This window comes from Homo sapiens, chromosome 3 (assembly GCF_000001405.40).
Source record: "Homo sapiens chromosome 3, GRCh38.p14 Primary Assembly".
In the NCBI taxonomy this organism is placed as follows: domain Eukaryota; kingdom Metazoa; phylum Chordata; class Mammalia; order Primates; family Hominidae; genus Homo; species Homo sapiens.
In genome coordinates, this window is record NC_000003.12 from 197322248 (window position 1) to 197340909 (window position 18662).

At 45.4% G+C, this 18662-nt stretch overlaps 1 long non-coding RNA gene and 1 pseudogene across 1 annotated transcript; one reads left to right on the top strand and one right to left on the bottom strand.

The window, feature by feature from the left end:
- Positions 1–11687: 11687 nt before the first annotated feature.
- LOC101926923 (uncharacterized) lies at positions 11688–16688 on the top strand. The gene is made up of 3 exons (XR_001740580.2): positions 11688–11795; positions 15451–15582; positions 16598–16688. It is a non-coding gene; the product is annotated as an uncharacterized LOC101926923 (long non-coding RNA).
- A 521-nt stretch (positions 16689–17209) lies between these two features.
- LOC124906373 (uncharacterized) lies at positions 17210–17304 on the bottom strand (annotated as a pseudogene).
- Positions 17305–18662: the final 1358 nt, after the last annotated feature.

The following is an 18662-nucleotide window of genomic DNA, read 5'->3' on the forward strand; positions in this document are numbered from 1 at the left end:
CATTGGCATTGATAGCAACTTTATCTGTATTAATATAAAACTGGAAACAAAATAAATGTCCTTCAGTGGGTAAATGGTTGAACAGACTCTGGTACATCCCTACAATGGCATACTACTCAGCAATGAAAAGGAATGAACTCCTCATACATGCAACTTGAAAGGATTATAAGGGTATATTGTGTGTAGTGATAAAAGGTGATCTCAAAAAGTTATATCCTATATGATTTCATTTACATAACACCCTCAAATGGCAAAACTGTAGAGATGGAGAGCAGGTTCGTGGTTGTTAGGAAACAGGGATGGGTTAGGAAGGTATCACCCTAAAGAAAAGGGAGTTGCTTTTTGGTGATGGAATAGTTTTGTATCTTGATTGTTGTGGTGGTTACACAATCTATATGCAGGGTTAAATTGCAAGTTGCATAGAACTACACACTCACATGCGTACACACAAATGGGTTCATATAAAAATTGGTGAAAACTGAACAAGGTCTGTTGCATACTTACTAGTGTTGTACCAATGTCAGTGTCAGTTTAGATATTGTACTTCAGTCATACAAGATGTCACCCTTGGGGAAGTTGGGTTCAAGAGACTATACTCTATTTTTTTCTTTTTTTGAGACAGAGTCTCGCTCTGTTGCCCAGGCTAAGGTGCAGTGGCACAATCTCGGCTCACTGCAACCGCCATCTCCCAGGTTCAAGCGGTTCTCCTGCCTCAGCCTCCCGAGTAGCTGGGATTGCAGGCATATGCCACCATGGCCGGCTAATTTTTGTATTTGTATTAGAGAGAGGGTTTCACCATATTGACCAGGCTGGTCTCGAACTCCTGACCTCAAGTAATCCACCCGCCTCGGCCTCCCAAAGTCCTGGGATTACAGGCATGAGCCACCACACGTGTAGAGTATAGACTCTATTTTTGAAAGTTTCTGTGAGCCTATAATTATTTTAAATAATTTTTTAAGTTAACAAACTTACATTATGGGAATAAAAAGTTTTGCTGGAGACTTCAGGTTGGGCTGGTTAAGTTAACAGCTCCCTAAAGATACATTTTATCCTCAAAGCTCTTCCTAAATCTTTTACTTAATTAAGTAGCCAGCATGAAACAAGGAGCAAATGAACTCATATTCCTCTCCACGTTAAACAAAGGCAAAACCCCCAAAATGTTGAATAAGTGTATGAACATACGGTGCTCGATTGGTCCTATTTCTTCAAGGCAGAAGCCACTAGAATATGAGTTTATAGAAGGCAGGGATAGTATCTTTATAATTCTAGCACCTAATGTAGGTTTTGGCTCATAGGAAGAGTCCAGCAAAAGCTTTGGAAGAAAGAAAAATCAGGAGGGAGGGAAACATAAGGGTGGAGAACAGGAAAGGCCCTCTTTAGTGTCTGTGCAGGAAGGATGTATTCAGTTAACAACAGATCAGTGTACAGGACCAGCTCCACATAGTGGAGGCAGTGCGGGCAAGGAAGGAAAGGTCCCACTGTGTGGACGTCTCCATCCTTACAAAGTGAGAATTAGAACTCTTGCGGCCGGGAGCGGTGGCTCACTCCTGTAATCCCAGCACTTGGGGAGGCCCAGGCGGGCACATCACGAGGTAAAGAGATCGAGACCATCCTGGCCAACATGGTGAAACCCCATCTGTACTAAAAATACAAACATTAGCTGGGCGTGGTGGCGTGTGCCTGTAATCCCAGCTACTCGGGAGGCTGAGGCAGGAGAATCACTTGAACCTGGGAGGCGGGTGTTGCAGTGAGCCGAGATTGCGCCACTGCACTCCAGCCTGGACGACAGAGCGAGACTGTCTAACATCAACAACAACAGCAAAAACAAACAAACAAACAAAAAAGAATTCTTGCTGGACTTCCCTTTCATCAGGACCAGGGCTTCTGGCTGAGGCTGCGTCTACGTAGGCAGGAGCCAGGCTGGGAATGGAGTCCAGAAAGAGTCACCAATGCAGCCTGCAGTGGAAAGATTTTATTTTATTTTATTTTACTTATTTATTTATTTACTTTATTATACTTTAATTTCTAGGGTACATGTGCACAACGTGCAGGTTTGTTACATATGTATACATGTGCCATGTTGGTGTGCTGCACCCATTATTTTATTTTTTTGAGGTGGAGTTTTGCTCTTGTCGCCCAGGCTGGAGTGCAATGGTGCAATCTTGGCTCACTGCAACCTCCGCCTCCAGGGTTTGAGTGATTCTCTTGCCTCAGCCTCCTGAGTAGCTGGGATTACAGGCACCTGCCACCACACCCAGCTAATTTTTGTATATTTAGTAGAGACGGGGTTTCACCACGTTGGCCAGGCTGGTCTTGAACTCCTGACCTCTGGTGATCTGCCCGCCTCGGCCTCCCAAAGTGCTGGGATTACAGGTGTGAGCCACCGCGCCCGGCCTTGTAGTGGAAAGATTTTAAATGATGAATATGAGCTGAAATATTGACTGACAGCCCTGATTCAGCCAAGTGTGAGCAAATACCAAACCCGGTCCAGAAGTTGGATGCGAAACCCGAGGGCAACCTACAATCAGGAGTCAGAAGGGGCCAGGATTGGGAGGCAGAAGGGGCCAGGATTGGAAGGCAGAAGGGGCCAGGATTGGGAGGCAGAAGGGGCCAGGATTGGCATGCACCAAAGATGAGTGGGGAGTGTCGAAACAGCAGAGGAGGCGGTCATCACTCTGATTTGTTCTGGTGCCCTCCTCGGTGGCTGCCCTAAAGGCATAGCCAGAGCTGACTACCTCACTGGTTACTCACTACATAAAGGAGTGAGGAGAATATGAAGCGTTTTAAAATAGCTTGGACTTATCAACCTGTTATAAAAAAACAAGTATTTATGCATATTCTAAGGGCTTCTTTCCTCAAGACTATTTTGAAGATTATGTCATTCAGTTTTGGTAGGTTGCCTGGGTTCAACATGAATAACATTACCAAATTGCTGCTTGTTCTAGTTCATACCTCCTTCTCCCATATGACTCTAAAGGCTTTCAGAAAAAATAGCACATGGCCGGGTGCGGTGGCTCACACTTGTAATCCCAGCACTTTGGGAGGCCAAGGCGGGTGCATCACAAGGTCAGGAGTTCGAGACCAGCCTGACCAACATGGAGAAACCCCATCTCTACTAAAAATATAAAAATTAGCCGAGCGTGGTGGCGGGTGCCTGTAATCCCAGCTACTCGGGAGGCTGAGGCAGGAGAATCACTTGAACCAGGGAGGCTGAGGTGGCAGTGAGCTGAGATTGCACCACTGCACTCCAGCCTGGGTGACAGAGAAAGACTCTCTCTCCCAAAAAATAAAAAGAAAGAAAAAGAAAAAATAGCACATTCCCATTTTAGGGCCTGTTTTCCACTTCATTATTTGGTTACACTGCCTCTCCTATACTTACGTGTCTTCAAGTTCCATACTTTCTCTAATAATCCTTGACACTACGGCATAGCTACTCAAGTTTACAAGGTTCAATGATAGGAATTGAGCAGAAATATGGATATTTAGTTTTTCTAGAGATGCACTGAACGTAAAACTGTGAGGCCACGTTTTCCCTTATGACGGCTCTCGACTTACACTTCTCACCCATCTTCTTAACCTTTCACACTATTTCCTGAAGCCATTTCATCTTCCTGCTAAAATGCCAACCTAAAAATAAGTAATCACACTGAAAAGGATCCAGATGGAAACAGAAAAACACGGACACACTCATTCAGGACGTGAAACATTTTCTATATTTGTCAGTAGACTTAAGTTTGCTTCTCATCTTCATTTCCATCTCATCACAGAGGCGTATTAGAAATCTTTTGACTCATTGAAACCAAGTTCATTCTATGTGGCTTTTGATTTCAAGTGATACTAGCGGATTTTATCTTTAAATAAATATGATTACTTTCTATTTTTTATTTAGTCAAACCAAGAATTCAGATTATTGTGTGTGTTCCTAAGAGGCATACTAGTTGTTCATTTCAACCAACTGGAAAAAGAAGGATACGTTGAGCTCGAGAACTTGGCAGATTCCCTAATTTCTTTTGCTGTGTGAACGTGGAAGACCTTCTAAGGCAGGTGTTTACCTGCTTGGACACAGACCATCAGGACATGAGAGTCAGAAAACCAGGTGAATGCAGCAAATTATAAGCAAAGCCAGAAATACAAAATATCAGACTAATCAGAATCTCTAACGAATTCCTACTTTTTAAAATTCTTTTTAAATTATCTTTGTAGAAGAACAACACACACATACACTTATACCAGAGGACGTTTAGCAAGTTCCTTGATTTCAAGGAAGCTTCTGATATAAGTCCACATTTGTTTATAATTCTCATATCTTCCTTATCTATAGTCCTGTTCAATGGCAACTGGCACTCAGAATAAGAAATTTGAGACACCACAAGATATGAAATTACCAAAGAAAAAAATAATGTATCCTCATTATCAAGGCAATAAATCCTTCCATACTGTATTAGAATATTTATCAGAATAAAGAGTTGAAACAAAAAATGTTTACTGAATAACTATCTCTTAGCCAAGAGAGGTCTCCCCTAGGCACCAGGATGAATATTTATGAACTTGTATTGAAGAATTATAAATTTTAGGACCAAGTTAATAATCTGAGTCACTGAGGTCTATAAATTATCCCCCACAATTGAAAAAAAAATTATTCCCTAAATTGTGGTGCTTTAGAAAATGGCCTAAAAGTGAGACTTTTAGGCCTATTGACCACTGTCAATAGGTTTAATTTCACATGAATTATTATTATTATTGTTATTATTGTTATTATTATTTTGGGATGGAGTCTCACTCTATCGCTCAGGCTGGAGTGTAGTGGCGGATCTTGGCTCACTGCAACCTCCATCTCCCAGGTTCAAGTGATTCTCCTGCCTCAGCCTCCTGAGTAGTTGGGATTACAGGCGCCCGCCACTACACCTGGCTAATTTTTGTATTTTTAGTAGAGACGGGGTTTCACCATGTTGGCCAGGCTGGTCTCGAACTCCTGATCTCAAGTGATCCGCCCGCCTCGGCCTCTCAAAGTGCTGGGATTATGGGTGTGAGCCACTGCACCTGGCCTAATTCCACATGAATTATCAGCCACAATTCGACTATCTTGTGGGCTCCAAAAATGTTTTTAAATTTTAAAGTACAGGTTCAGGCCGGGCAAGGTGGCTGACGCCTGTAATCCTAGCAGTCTGGGAAGCTGAGGCAGGTAGATCACCTGAGGTCAGGAGTTTGAGACCATCCTGGCCATCAAGGGGAAACCCTGTCTCTACTAAAAATACAAAAATTAGCTGGGCGTGGTGGTGCATGTCTGTAATCCCAGCTACTCAGGAGGCTGAGGCAGGAGAATCACTTGAACCCAGGAGGCGGAGGTTGCAGTGAGCCAAGATCGCACCACTGCACTCCAGCCTGGGCGACAGAGCGAGACTCTGTCTCAACAACCAAACAAACAAAGTACAGGGTACAGGTTCTGCAAAGGCAACCAAATGGTTGTTGTGCACATCCTCCAGAAGATGCACATCCTCCAGAAGATGTTGAGCCACAAACCACAACCAAGAGTGTGCCCCTTTAAGTATTTTGAAGGTGACGAAAGTACAACCACTCTATTCTCCCTATTCGCATGTCCAGATTCCATCATGTGCATCTTACTCAGACACAGCTGGAACCAGAGCTGGATGTGACCTCTCCCTTTTTTCAGCTCTGAGCTGTGCAAGCACTGGCATGTGACTCCAGCACAGCTGTTCATTCCCTGGTCAGGGTCTGGCCCTTTCTCTAGTGACCTGTATTGTATTCTACTCTGTAATGTAATGATTTATCTACGTATTTTATCTCACCTACTAGATTATGAATTTTTGAATGCAAGGACCATGCCTGTTTTATCTTCTTTGAAGTGACACAGATGAAAACTCACTGTAAATTTTGAAATACTTTCATGGGTCTAACTTTCTATTCTTTGTAAAATTATTTGCATTTATTAGCACCTAACACATTGCGGATGCCCAATAAAGATTTGTTGACTGAGTGAATAAATAAATGTCTCCAATTATTTCCCTCCTATCACCAGAATTCCACATGGTATCTAATAGAGTTCGGCCCAGCAAAGAGAAGGTCAACTCTCTAAAGGACATTTGTGGGAATAGAGCCCAGCAGGCTGACCTGCCATCCTCAGTTCACTGCCCATCAAGCGCACATACCGCCACCGCCTCTTCCATTTCATACTCTAGTATTTGGTTGCACCCTGCGGCATCCTGGCAAGCTGTCCAGGAAAGCTTCCTCAGGGAAATGTGGATGTCTGACCCCACACTAAAAAGGTATTTCAGGACTGGCTAGTGGAGGGGTTGCCACAAACTATCCCCACCATTTGGATGTCCAAAAATTAAGCATTAGCACAACTCTCCTCCCCCAGGTAGCAAGGGGAACAAAAATCATGGAAACTGAAGTGAGCATCGAATTAGGAGAATGGAGCAGGACGTTGGTTTTCACCTCGCTATGCCAAATGCACATGAATAAACACAACAGAGAAAGGTGTTCCGCTTTCAAAATGGACACTTTGCAAGGCTTTCTCAACTGTTTTTTTTTTTTTTTTACCACCTGTAATCTGTCTTTGAACAGGGATGTTACCTTTAAAAAAAAAAGGCAGCCGGAAGTGGTGGCTCACGCCTGTGATCCCAGCACTTTGGGAGGCTGAGGCAGGTGGATCACCTGAGGTCAGGAGTTTGAGATCAGCCTGGCCAACCTGGTGAAACCCCATCTCTACTAAAAATATAAAAATTACCTGGGCATGGTGGTGGGCGCCTGAAATCCCAGCTACTCGAGAGGCTGAGGCAGGAGAATTGCTTGAACCCAGGAGGCAGAGGTTACAGCGAGCCAAGATCAGCCATTGCTCTCCAGCCTGGGTGACAGAGCGAGACTCTGGCTCAAAAACAAACAAACAAACAAACAAAAAGCACAACCTTGTTTCAGTAACATATGTGGAAAAACTCTACATAAATCACTTTCTCATTATGAAATACTTCTCCTGTTTTAAAAACCAAAATCAGGAATTTGACTTTAAGAAAGAAAAAAATGAAATTTCGTAATGGCCGCTTTCTGCAGTGAATTAATATCTAGAGGCCCACTGACCACCTGCTCGCAGCCTGTCCTGCGTTCTTACCCAGTCACAGGTGAACTCAGAAGCACTTGGGTTTATGACATATTTGCAATGCTCCGTTTAGAACATTTACCAACTGCTGTATCTTTTTCCACAGAGTCTCACTATTTCATTATAAAGACTAGAAGAACAGCCCCTTGTTCTCAGGCAAGAAAACACAGAAGCTTCATTTGTTGATTATTTTTAACTACTACACATTTTCTGTGCTTTACAGCTTCTTCAGTGATTGTTTAATTGTGAACATATCGGCATGTGATTTGAGGTCAGCTGTTTGTTCCCTGGGTGGTACAGCCAATCCATAATCTTGATAGGGAGAAATCTCACTAAAGTGCAAGCTGTAAGTTCTAGGCTGCCAACGAATACTCTTCCTCTCTTCAAATCTTCTGTCTATCATGAAAAAAATTCTCAAACTGTTTACCTTTCCCTGAATATTACTGAGAATATATTTTTAAAGGCATGATTCTCTTCTTCATTGCCTCATTTGCTATCACTCTTCCTCATTGCTCTCCTGCATTACTTTTCTTCATTACTTTGAAAAAGGCAGACAGGCAAACAAAAGAAAATGGTCTCTAATGCTACCACCCAAAGATAATCACAATTAATATTTTGGTGCAGAGTCTTCCAGGCTGTTTGAGAGAGGTTTCGGTTTGTTTGTTTGTTTTTGCTTTATTGGTTTTTTTTTTGTAATAAACACCAAAAGAAACTGAAAATAAATTTTGCCAGAGTTTTAAAGTGATGCCGTCTTCTAAAAAAATTTTTTTGCTAAGCTAAAACCACATAAAATAAGATTTTCTTTCATTTAATGTTTTCAGTTTGCCACCAGTATACATACAGCTAAAGTGGGCCATCAGTCTATGGGAAAACGGGCAAATTTTTTGCTTTTTTTGGGATGGAGTTTCACTCTTGTTGCCCAGGCTGAAGTGCAATGGTGCAATCTCGGCTCATTGCGACCTCTGCCTCCCGTGTTCAAGCGATTCTCCTGCCTCAGCCTCCTGAATAGCTGGGATTACAGGCATGCGCCACCACACCTGGCTAATTTTGTATTTTTAGTAGAGAGGGGGTTTCTCCATGTTGGTCGGGCTGGTCTTGAACTCCTGACCTCAGGTGATCCACCCACCTCGGCCTTACAAAGAAAATGGGCATTTTCAAGAAAAATATGTGGACTTCTGCCGTTTCAAAGTCTGTTACAAGAATGCTTTGACCGATTCCACTTGTCTCATTTCTGTACCTCCCAGATCATCCTCCACCCAACTCCAGCTCTTTTTTTTTTAAATTTAAATTTTTAGTTTTTTGAGATGGAGTCTCACTCTGTTGCCAGGTTGGAGTGCAATGGCATGATCTTGGCTGACTGCAACCTCTGCCTCCTGGGTTCAAGCGATTCTCCTGCCTCAGCCCCCACCCCGAGTAGCTGGGATTACAGGCACGCGCCACCACGCCCAGCTAATTTTTGTATTTTTAGTTGAGATGGGGTTTCACCATGTTGGCTGGGATGGTCTCGATTTCCTGACCTCATGATCTACCGGCCTCAGCCTCCCAAAGTGCTGGGATTACAGGTGTGAGCCACCGTACCTGGCCTTCCAACTCTTCTCAAACCCTCACTCCAGGATCCCTTGTCTGCTTGTCTTGCTTACAATTTTGCTTCTGAGGGAAGAGAATAGAGTCAAAGGGATGAGATTGGAAGCAAATACACCCAAATATTAATAGGGGTCAACTCTGGTCAATTGAAACACAGGTGTTGGTTGTATTAGTTTCTGTATTCTTACAGATATTTTTAAAGTTCTAGATATTAACAAAACAAAGCTAATAAAAGATATGGTCTCTGTGTTCCAGGAGCTCAGGGTCTGGTCATGTGTAATCAATTACAGTAAATTCAAGACTTGCAAACAGATCTGTCCTCTAGAGGGCTTTCTAATGAGGTTAGTACAAGGTGCTAGACTCTAGCAGCTATAGGAACACAGAGCATGGAGTATACTCCCCCTCCACGTTTCCTTGGAGAATGTAGAGAGGCTTCTGCGAAGAGGCAAAGCCTGACTTGAGGCTTGGAGGATGAGTAGTTTTCCATGGTTTCCAGTGCAGGTAGGAGTGTGCTGCAGAAAGCCCTGATACATGTAAATCAGACTCGGAGACCAAATCATATGCTTGGGGAAGAGAGACTATTTTCGGTATGGCTGGGGTTGTTCTGTGTCAGCAGATAAACTTGGAGAAGTGGTGAAGAGTCCCATGGGTCAAGCTGCCCAATGATTGATGAGAAACCAATGAAATAAGGGAAGGCTATAATATGACTTTTGTGTTAGCAACATCCTTCAGGGGATGTTGTGGAATATAGAGGAGGAATGGAGGCAGAGAGACCACTTAGGAGGCTGCCGCCACGGTCGAGGTGAGAGATGATGATGGTCTGTAAGAGGGCAGTGGCAGAGAGCAAACGGGGACAGATGAAAAATCTTTAGAAGATAGAATCTAACCTGCAAGGAGACAAATTAGATGTGGGGGTTGCGGGAAGGAAGAGGACAAAATCAAGAGCCACTGCTGGGTTTCTGACTTGAGTATTGGGTTGGATGGTGGGGTAAATTCACTGGGATTGGGAAGAGTAGAAATGGAGAGGGAACAAATGAGTAAAATTTGCAACATGCGGCTGGGCGCGGTGGCTCACGCCTGCAATCCCAGCACTTTGGGAAGGCGAGGCGGGCAGATCACGAGATTAGGAGTTCGAGACCGGCCTGACCAACATGGTGAAATCCTGTCTTTACCAAAAATACAAAAAAATTAGCTGGGTGTGGTGGCGCATGCCTGTAACCCCAGCTACTCAGGAGGCTGAGGCAGGAGAATTGTTTGAACTCGGGAGGCAGAAGTTGCAGTGAGCCGAGATCATGCCACTGCACCCCAAAAATAAATACATAAATAAATAAAAAATCTGCAACATGCTGATCTTGGGAAACCTGTGGTACATCTTGCTTGGAGTTGCCCAAGAGACCATGAAGCATAGAGATTGGAGTGAGCTCAAGAAAGTATTCTCTCTAAGCTAGAGGAAGACTCATCAAGCAGATGCCACCTTGGCTGAGGTCATTGAAGACGAGGTGTTGAAGATGTCCTGGGAAGACTGAGGGAGGGAGAAGAACAGAGGCTGGAGCTCTAATGGAGCTCAACATTTAAGGATCATGGAGGGGAAGGGGAGGCTGTGAAAGAGACTGAGTGGGTGGTCCAAGGGGAGGGAGGATGATCAGGAGAGAGCCACGTCAGTCAATGTTACATCTGCTTAAGAAGAAGATCATTTTAAGAAGGAAGGAACAGTCACCAGGTTAGAGCAAGCAGATAAGTCTAGTAAGACACAGCGTTGCTAGATAAAATACAGCATGTCCAGTTAAATTTGCATTCAGATAGAAATGAATACTTTAAAAATATTGTTTAATTAACACATTTTTTATTTTAATTTTTGTGGGTACCTAGTAGGTGTATATCTTAATGGGGTACATGAGATGTTTTGACACAGGCCTGCACTGTGAAATGATCACATCATGGAGAATGGGGTATCCATTCCCGCAAGCGTTTATCCTTTGTGTTACAAACAATCCAGTTACGCTCTTTTAGTTATTTAAAAATGTACAATAGAGCTATTATGCCTACGGTCACCTCGCTGTGCTATCAAATAGTAGGTCTTATTCATTCTTTCTATTTTTTGTACCCGTTAACCATCCCCACCTTCCCCAAAATGAATACTTTTTAAGTATAAGTATGTATATTACTTTGACTTGCTAAGTATGGGAACCCTAGTAAGAGAAAGACTAAAATCTGCAAGTAGATATGGTAGTTAAAGCTAAGTCAGAGGACTGCAGGGAGCAGATGCAGGCGGGGACTGGGAGGTGATACATGTCAATCAATCTTCCTGGAAACCAGGATTTGAAGCAAAGGGGTAGGGGACAGGCTTAAGACACGAAGAATTTTCTTTCTTTCTTCTTCTTTATTTTTTTTTTTATATACTTTAAGTTCCAGAATACATGTGCAGAACATGCAGGTTTGTTACACAGGTATACATGTGCCATGGTGGTTTGCTGCACCCATCAACTCGTCATCTACATTGGGTATTTCTCCTAATGCTATCCCTCCCCTTGCCCCCGACACCCCGACAGGTCCCATTGTGTGATGTTCCCCTCTAAGACAGGGAGAATTTTCTTAAGGGGAGCAGACATTTCATATTGTCATTTTCTCCCCTCCCCGCCACCACCAGCAGCCAGGAACCACGTGAGGTTTAAGACCATGTCTTAGTTATTTTTGTAATCAAAGCTCTGACCTGACCAGGGCCTTCCTTTTGTGCATCAGGAACTCAATGCATGTTTACTAAATTAAATCCTTAGACTAGATTTCTCCAAGCCAATTGTAAATAACTGAGGTAATCAAGGAGGTGCATTACTTTTGTGTCTACCTGAAATTTATGACCCAACATATTTTGGGCACATGTAGTTTACATTGATGAGAATGATCTGTGGAATTGCGTCTGCTCTCTACGTCTACTTACCGATGAAGGCAGAGTCTTTAATCCTAGAGGCCAGTGTCCCTTCTTCCACCTACCAGTGTATAGTAGAAGCAGCAGCAGCAGCAGCAGCAGCAGCAGCAGCAGCAGCAGGAGCTAGGAATCTCTTAATTGCTTTGTGCTTGTCAAGATTATGCAACTTTCCAGGTGAGTAAAACAGATCCCAAAGGTCCGGCTGAGGGGGGAGAAAGAAAACCACCCTTGCACTAAACCGGCAGAGTAAGTCGTTCAAGAGGGTGTTTGGGGCCTGTGGGAAACTTCAGCAGCCTTCAGCCTGATCTGACATTTGCTGCTCCGCTTGGCTTACAAACTGCCTTTCTTCCCCTATGCAGCTAAGTGAAGTCTACTCACCCCAACGGAGGAATAAACCAACCGCAAAACAAACCTATTAAGAGGCTGCTCAAGCCTGCCTTAAGTGATCCAAAGCAGGGAACAAAGGCATGTGTGCTTTGAAAGAAAGATCTTCTGCATTTCTGCTCTGAAAACATTCTCAGGTCAACGTTGGAGATACCTGTGGGCTCTGCTTGCAGGGAGGGAGGAAGTAGGAGCTGGTGCTGAAGTGAAGGCTCAAGGACTCCTGTTCAGGCTGTTAGAGAATGCGGACCCCTGCATCCTATACTTTGATTTGCTAAGTATGGAAACCCCAGTAAGATAAAGACTAGGGTCTTTCTTCTTTCTTCCACCGTTAGACCCTGCCCCTGAAGCAGACCCTAGAGAAGATTAGAAGTCGATTCACCGGGGAGGCGACCCATAGCAGGGACCCGGTAGACCCTGGAGTGGGCAGGGTCTGTTGGTGAAAGAGGAAGGAGAAAAACGGTTAATTGGAAAAGCTTGGATTTTGAGGTTGGTTTAGACCTGTGTTCAAATCTCAGATCCACCTACTCTAGTTCTGTAGTATTGGGGTGTCTAAAATGGTGCTTAACAGAAAGCTTTAGTGCTGGATGCATTTGGGTTTAATTCCTGCTGCTACACGTGGACTCAGAGTGGTATTTTCCAAGATACCTTCCTTTTTCTTTTTTTTTTTTTTTTTTGGAGACAGGGTCTCACTCTTTCGCCCAGGCTGGAGTGCAGTGGTGTGATCGCGGCTCACTGCAACCTCCACCTCCCGGATTCAAGCAATTCTCCTGCCTCAACCTCCCAAGTAGCTCGGATTACAGGCGCCCGCCACCACGCCTAGCTAATTTTTGCATTTTTTAGTAGAGACGGGGTTTCACCATTTAGCCAGGCTGGTCTTGAACTCTTGACCTCAGATGATCCACCAGCCTCGGCCTCCCAAAGTGCTGGGATTACAGGCATGAGCCACCACGCCCGGCCCCCAGGACACCTTCCTTATATATTTTCCTTGCATCCATTTTGCCACTATGGCTCTAGGAAAGGGAAAATGATGAATGGCATCTCGGGAAAGAGGAGAATGTGGTATAGGAAGCAGATCTGTAAACAGCAGAGGGGACAGGAACCCTTTCAACATCAAGGTGGCATGGAGAAGGGGTTTGTGGGGAGTGGGAGGCAAGAGGGAAGGGAAGGAGGAGGGCAAGTGGCCAGACACTTGTGGCCTGGCTCACTGGCCGGGCCGAACCCACAGGGAGAAGATTAGAAGTGAGTTCAGCAGGGGGAATTTCCAAGAGTGGTTTGTATCCCCTCCTGCTAAAGAAATCCTGGGAGGAGACTGCCCTGCGGACGGCCTCACAGTGACCTGGGTGGCCTCGCGGAGAGACAGCTGGCCTGAGGAAGGACTACGCCTCGCCTCTGTGCTCCCCAGCCTGATCTGGAAGCCTCTGAGGGCCCACTGGGGAAAGCAGAAGGTCACTGAGAGGTCAGCTGAGGGCAGCAGTCCTCTATGGCAAGGGGGAGGTGACCCACAGCAGATGCTGTGACGATTGTCCACACCACAAGACACAGGTGGAGGCCCAGGTTGGCTGTACTGGGAAAAGCTGGGGCGGCACAGAACCAGCAGCAAGAAGAAGGGGAGAGGGGTGAACACCAGGCCTCAGATGAGCCCAGGGCCAAGAGAACAGACATGTCCTCTGGCACGGACTTTAGCTGCAGGTGTGAACTGGGCCCTGGGAGCAGGCACACGAGGGACTTCTCCTCCTAAGGTGGCGAGAACTCAGGGGATGGGACAAGGACTAGCCTTCCTGCAGGGAGGAGGGAAAGAGGAAAGCTCAGAGAAGGACAAACAGGCCTGGAAGGAAGTTTGAGCCTTGAATTATTGGAACACAGTACTGTTCAAAAGAAATAGACAACGGAAAAAACAAAGACAGAAACAGAAATTCTTTTTACCTCCCTTCCCCGGCAAAAAACATGAGATCTTTGACTTGACAAGTTTTTGTTTGTTTCCTGCTCTTCAGTGGGATTTGGGATTCTAGAGGACAAAATGATCAGTTACAGAAAACGAAGTACCCACCAATTATCCACATCTGATAGGCTGGGTATAAACTGACAGCCCTCACTCCATGAACTTTGTAAACTTGGGTTACCTACTTAATTTCTTCTAGCCTCAGCTTCTTCATCTACAAAATGAGAATCAGACTGCTTCATACGGGTTGTTGTGAGTATTACATGAAATGACACATGCCCAGCTCTCTGGGGAAAGTGCCCATGTAGCTGGACCCATTAATGGTTGCATAACATCGTTACTTAGCTTCCACGAGCTTCATTTTCTTCCTCTGTAACTAGGAACTGCGATATCTATCTCACACAGCAGGTATGCAGACAGTGTAACTTCTCTTTCCCTTCTACTCCCTGTCTGAAGAGTACAGTTTCTCTTTCTCAGCATCTCCAAATATATTAATCTCCCTTCATGTATTCACTCAATAGTATTTGCTGGGTTTCTGCTCTGTTCAGAGTTTTCTCCTGAGGGTTTCCAGGATGATGCATACGCAATGTTGATCCTTCTCAAAGAGCTTCCTAGTCAGCTGGTGGAGGGATAGGGGCTGGTATTCTTACTTCTTTATTATAGAAGGGAAAAATGATGAGACACACAGCAAAACCTCTGCGTTCACTTAGAAGAGGCAGCGTTTACTTCCAGTTAGAAGTGAGGGAGTGCTTCCCACATAACATGGCATTTGAACAGGGCCTTGCTGCCAGTATTGAGGGCAATGGGGAGACAGAAATAGATGAACTGGACCTTGAAAAATGAGAAATACTTGGCCATGTGGAGATTGGGGAGGGCAGTCTAGGCAAAGAATTGCACACACAATGGCACAGTGTAGGGTGTGATTTGAGAATGGGTGGGTGGTTCTCTGATCTGTGACTAGATCAGAGAAGGTAAGAGGTTAGGGGATAATAGTAACCTGAAGAGTTAGGTACAGGCCTGATATGATGGGTTCATGATGCTACCAAGCTAACAGTCATCGACTTGTCACGTTTCTAATATTATTTTGTGAAAGGAAGGAGAAGGGAGGAGGAGCTAGAATTTATTGAGCCCCAGATACATGCGAGCCCCTGCACTGAGACTACTGCTCTTTAGATAGTATGTCTACACCTCATGATCATGCTGGGAAGTAGATATTTACAGAGGGGGAAACTGAGGTTCAGAGAGGTTAAGTAACTCACTCAAGCTCACACAGCTAGAAAGTAGTCCATCCAGAATCAAATCTGGGTTTGTCTGATCCAAAGCCAGTGCTTCGAGGGCCTCCGTACTTACCTACTCCACCTGCTGCCTCATGGAAACACCCCTCTTTCCAGCTCCTGTGTTTATGGAAGTTATGTGTCATGTTCTGTTACCGATCAATTAGCAGGAAGGGTGGCCTTACCCAATCCGAGGAATTGAGGCTCAGTGGGGTGTTCTTTTTGGTTCTAGAATTCAAGATCATGGAAAACTGCCAGAAGGAAATGGGTCTTCTCCTCTCCCAAATGGTCCCATAACTAGTCTGGCCACCTTGAGCCATCCAAGAGGAGAATGTGGTCAGGGACCGTGACTCAGCTTAAGAAGGTAATGGGAGCTTACATGCGGAAAACCCCAAGATGCTTTCATCTGCTGTGTATTTATGCTCCATTAAGCCCCAGGGGATTATATTTTGAGGTGCCTCTTAAGTCAGGATATAGGATGGACTAATGTTTATTATTTGTGATAGGGTGCCTAAGGGAGAAGGCTCAGAAATGCCTGTCTCCTTAGCTGGAAGTGACAAAATGAGAACCGAGACATTTTGGTTTTTGCACCACAAAGCCTTTCTCTGGGGAATGAGACAAGATCGGAGCACATGAGCTTTGGAGAAGTGATGGATCCTTTCCTGAAACTGAGGCTCAGAGAGACATGCTGTCTTATCCAAGCTCATCAGATGGAAACAGGCAGAGTCAACATGGGAACCCAAGTATTATGGCTCCTGGCTTTCTTACTGAGCCGCACAAAGCAGAATACACTTACCTAACGGGAGCACTAAAAACTACTCTCTTAATGGGCTACAATTGGTTTTACTAGAAGCATCGATTTTTTTTTTTTTTTTTTTTTTGAGATGGAGTCTCGCTCTGTCGCCCAGGCTGGAGTGCAGTGGCGCGATCTTGGCTCATGCAACCTCTGCCTCCCGGGTTCAAACGACTCTTCTGCCTCAGCCTCCCCAGTAGCTGGGATTATAGGCACCCACCACCATGCCCGGCTAATTTTTGTATTTTTAGTAGAGACGGGGTTTCACCATACTGGTCAGGCTGGTCTCAAACTCCTGACCTTGTGATCTGCCTGCCTCAGCCTGCCAAAGTGCTGGCATTACAGGTGTGAGCCACCGCGCCCGGCAGAAACAATAGTAATATCTAGTCCAATTACCTCATTTATAGATGAGAACACTTAGGCTCAGAATAGGAAACTGACTTGCTTAAGGTCACAATAATTTTAGCAGTAGAGGCTGGTGTAGGTCACAGATCAGCTGCCTGTGGTCAGCACTGACAGCTCTTTCCACGAATGTTTAATATTAAGTTCCACTGACTGTGACATATATCTCTATCTCTGTCTACAGCTACATTTATATCTATATCTACACACATGTTCTACCGACTATGACCACACCACCATGGCCCATGCCCATACACCCACGTGTGAACCAAGAGGTAATCAGCCACTTCCTTACCTTTATTTTTTTATTTTTTTGTTTTTCATTTCTGAGAGAGTCTCATTCTGCCACCCAGGCTGGAGTGCAGTGGTGTGATCTTGGCTCACCACAACCTCTGCCTCCCGGGTTCAAGTGATTCTCCTGCCTCAGCCTCCCGAGTAGCTGGGGCCTCCCTGGCTCAAGCGATTCTCCTGCCTCAGCCTCCCGAGTAGCTGGGACTACAGGCGCACCCCCCACACCCAGCTAATTTTTGTATTTTTAGTAGAGACGGGGTTTCGCCATGTTGGCCAGGCTGGTCTTGATCTCCTCACCTCAGGTGATCCACCTGCTTCGGCCTCCCAAAGTGCTGGGATTACAGGCATGAGCCACCATGCCAGCCCACTTCCTTACCTTTAAACTGGCATATCTTTCCAGTTTTATAAAGGGGATAAAAATGTCTCTTAATTTTAAAGCATTTAAAAGCAACCAGTGAAAGAAAATCCCCAGATATTTGCTACCTTTTTTTCTTTCTCTTTTTCACATCAGGCAGGTAATGTGCCGATGACGACGTCTACAAGGTTTGAGGGAGGCACCTCTCAAAACCGAATCATCATGCTTGCAAACTACAAAAGACTCTTTCTTGGTACTTTTCTTGTTTGAAAGTACCTACATTTTGGGGCTCAAGACTCAGAAAGTCAGAGTGGAGAGTTGGGTGCCATGCTCCATTCTGCTTTTCCTGAAGTGCCTCAAATGCTAGGCAGAGTCCCTGCACTCTCCGTGATAGGAATCTCCTCTGTGGCCAAAATTGGGCCTCCGTTTTTTTCACCGCAGGAATATACATGTCCTCATGGCCGTCTCCTGCCTGGGCAGCAGCGAAGCCTCCCCAGACTGCTCTGCCCTGTGGAAGAAAAGGCCTAGGTCCTGCTGTTTTCCCAGTCTCCTTTCCTGGGAGGTGGCCATGACTCGCTCCCATTAACCTGGGCAGAGGCTGTTTCCCATCTCTTCCTGCATGAGTTACTTCATGGAGCCTCGGAGGAGGAGCCCTGGACTCTGCTCGCCTGGGATTCCTGCTGTTCTACCCACTGTCCACCCAGAAGCTCCCTTCCCCGGGTCTGACATGACTTTCTCTTCTGAGCCAGGCCCAGCAGGAAGGATGCGTTTGTGTTCGGCCCTGCATTCCTGCAGTGTCCCTCGGGTGTGTGGCTGGAAATGATTTGTGTAAGGCACTCAGCCAGCCTCCCTTTTAATCACTCCCATACTCACAGACAGAGGGAATCCCAGCCCCTCACCCAGGAGAGGGAAGGAACCTCCTTCATTTTGACAGGGCCTCCCTCCGTGGTGGGGTAAGCAGTGATTCTGGTCTCCAGGAAAGATGCTTCCAAGAGCCTCTTTCTCTGAGGCCTAATTATGAAATCGATATCTTCAGGAACCCCTCCTCCTTCCCTGGAGCTTCTGCAGGCAGACACTGCCCAGATAATGTTCAAACATGCATTGACCCGGCAGGGCTTCCTGAGCACCACTCTGGCTGGGGAGGAGGATGGGATCAGCTGGGCCTGGAAGAATGGGCAGGGTTTGCTTAGGACGTTTCGGGGAGGCAGATGGTGTAAGCTGGGGATGGGGTGAGGAAGGGAGAGAGTTAGGGGCAGCTTGAGGGAAATAGGGGTGTTTGTTGGGGAAGAGTGAGTGATGACTGGTCAGAGTCCCAACAGCAAACAGAGGACACAATTAAAATGGGATAGTTCCAGGATAGTTTATTTGCATAGGTGTGATCACAGGGAAACCACAAAGAATAGTGCAGTTAACTGGTCTTAGTAAGAGCCAAGGTGTTATCACCTCTAGGCACAAAGAGACAAAGACCAGAACAGAGAGTCCTGCAGAGCAACTTGACTTGGAAGGAACAGAAGACTTCAGTCCAGGGGCACAGTAAGCTGGAGGCAACCTTGCAGGGAGAGACCCAGGCAGAGCTGGATTTGTAGTGACGCTGGCGAAGTTT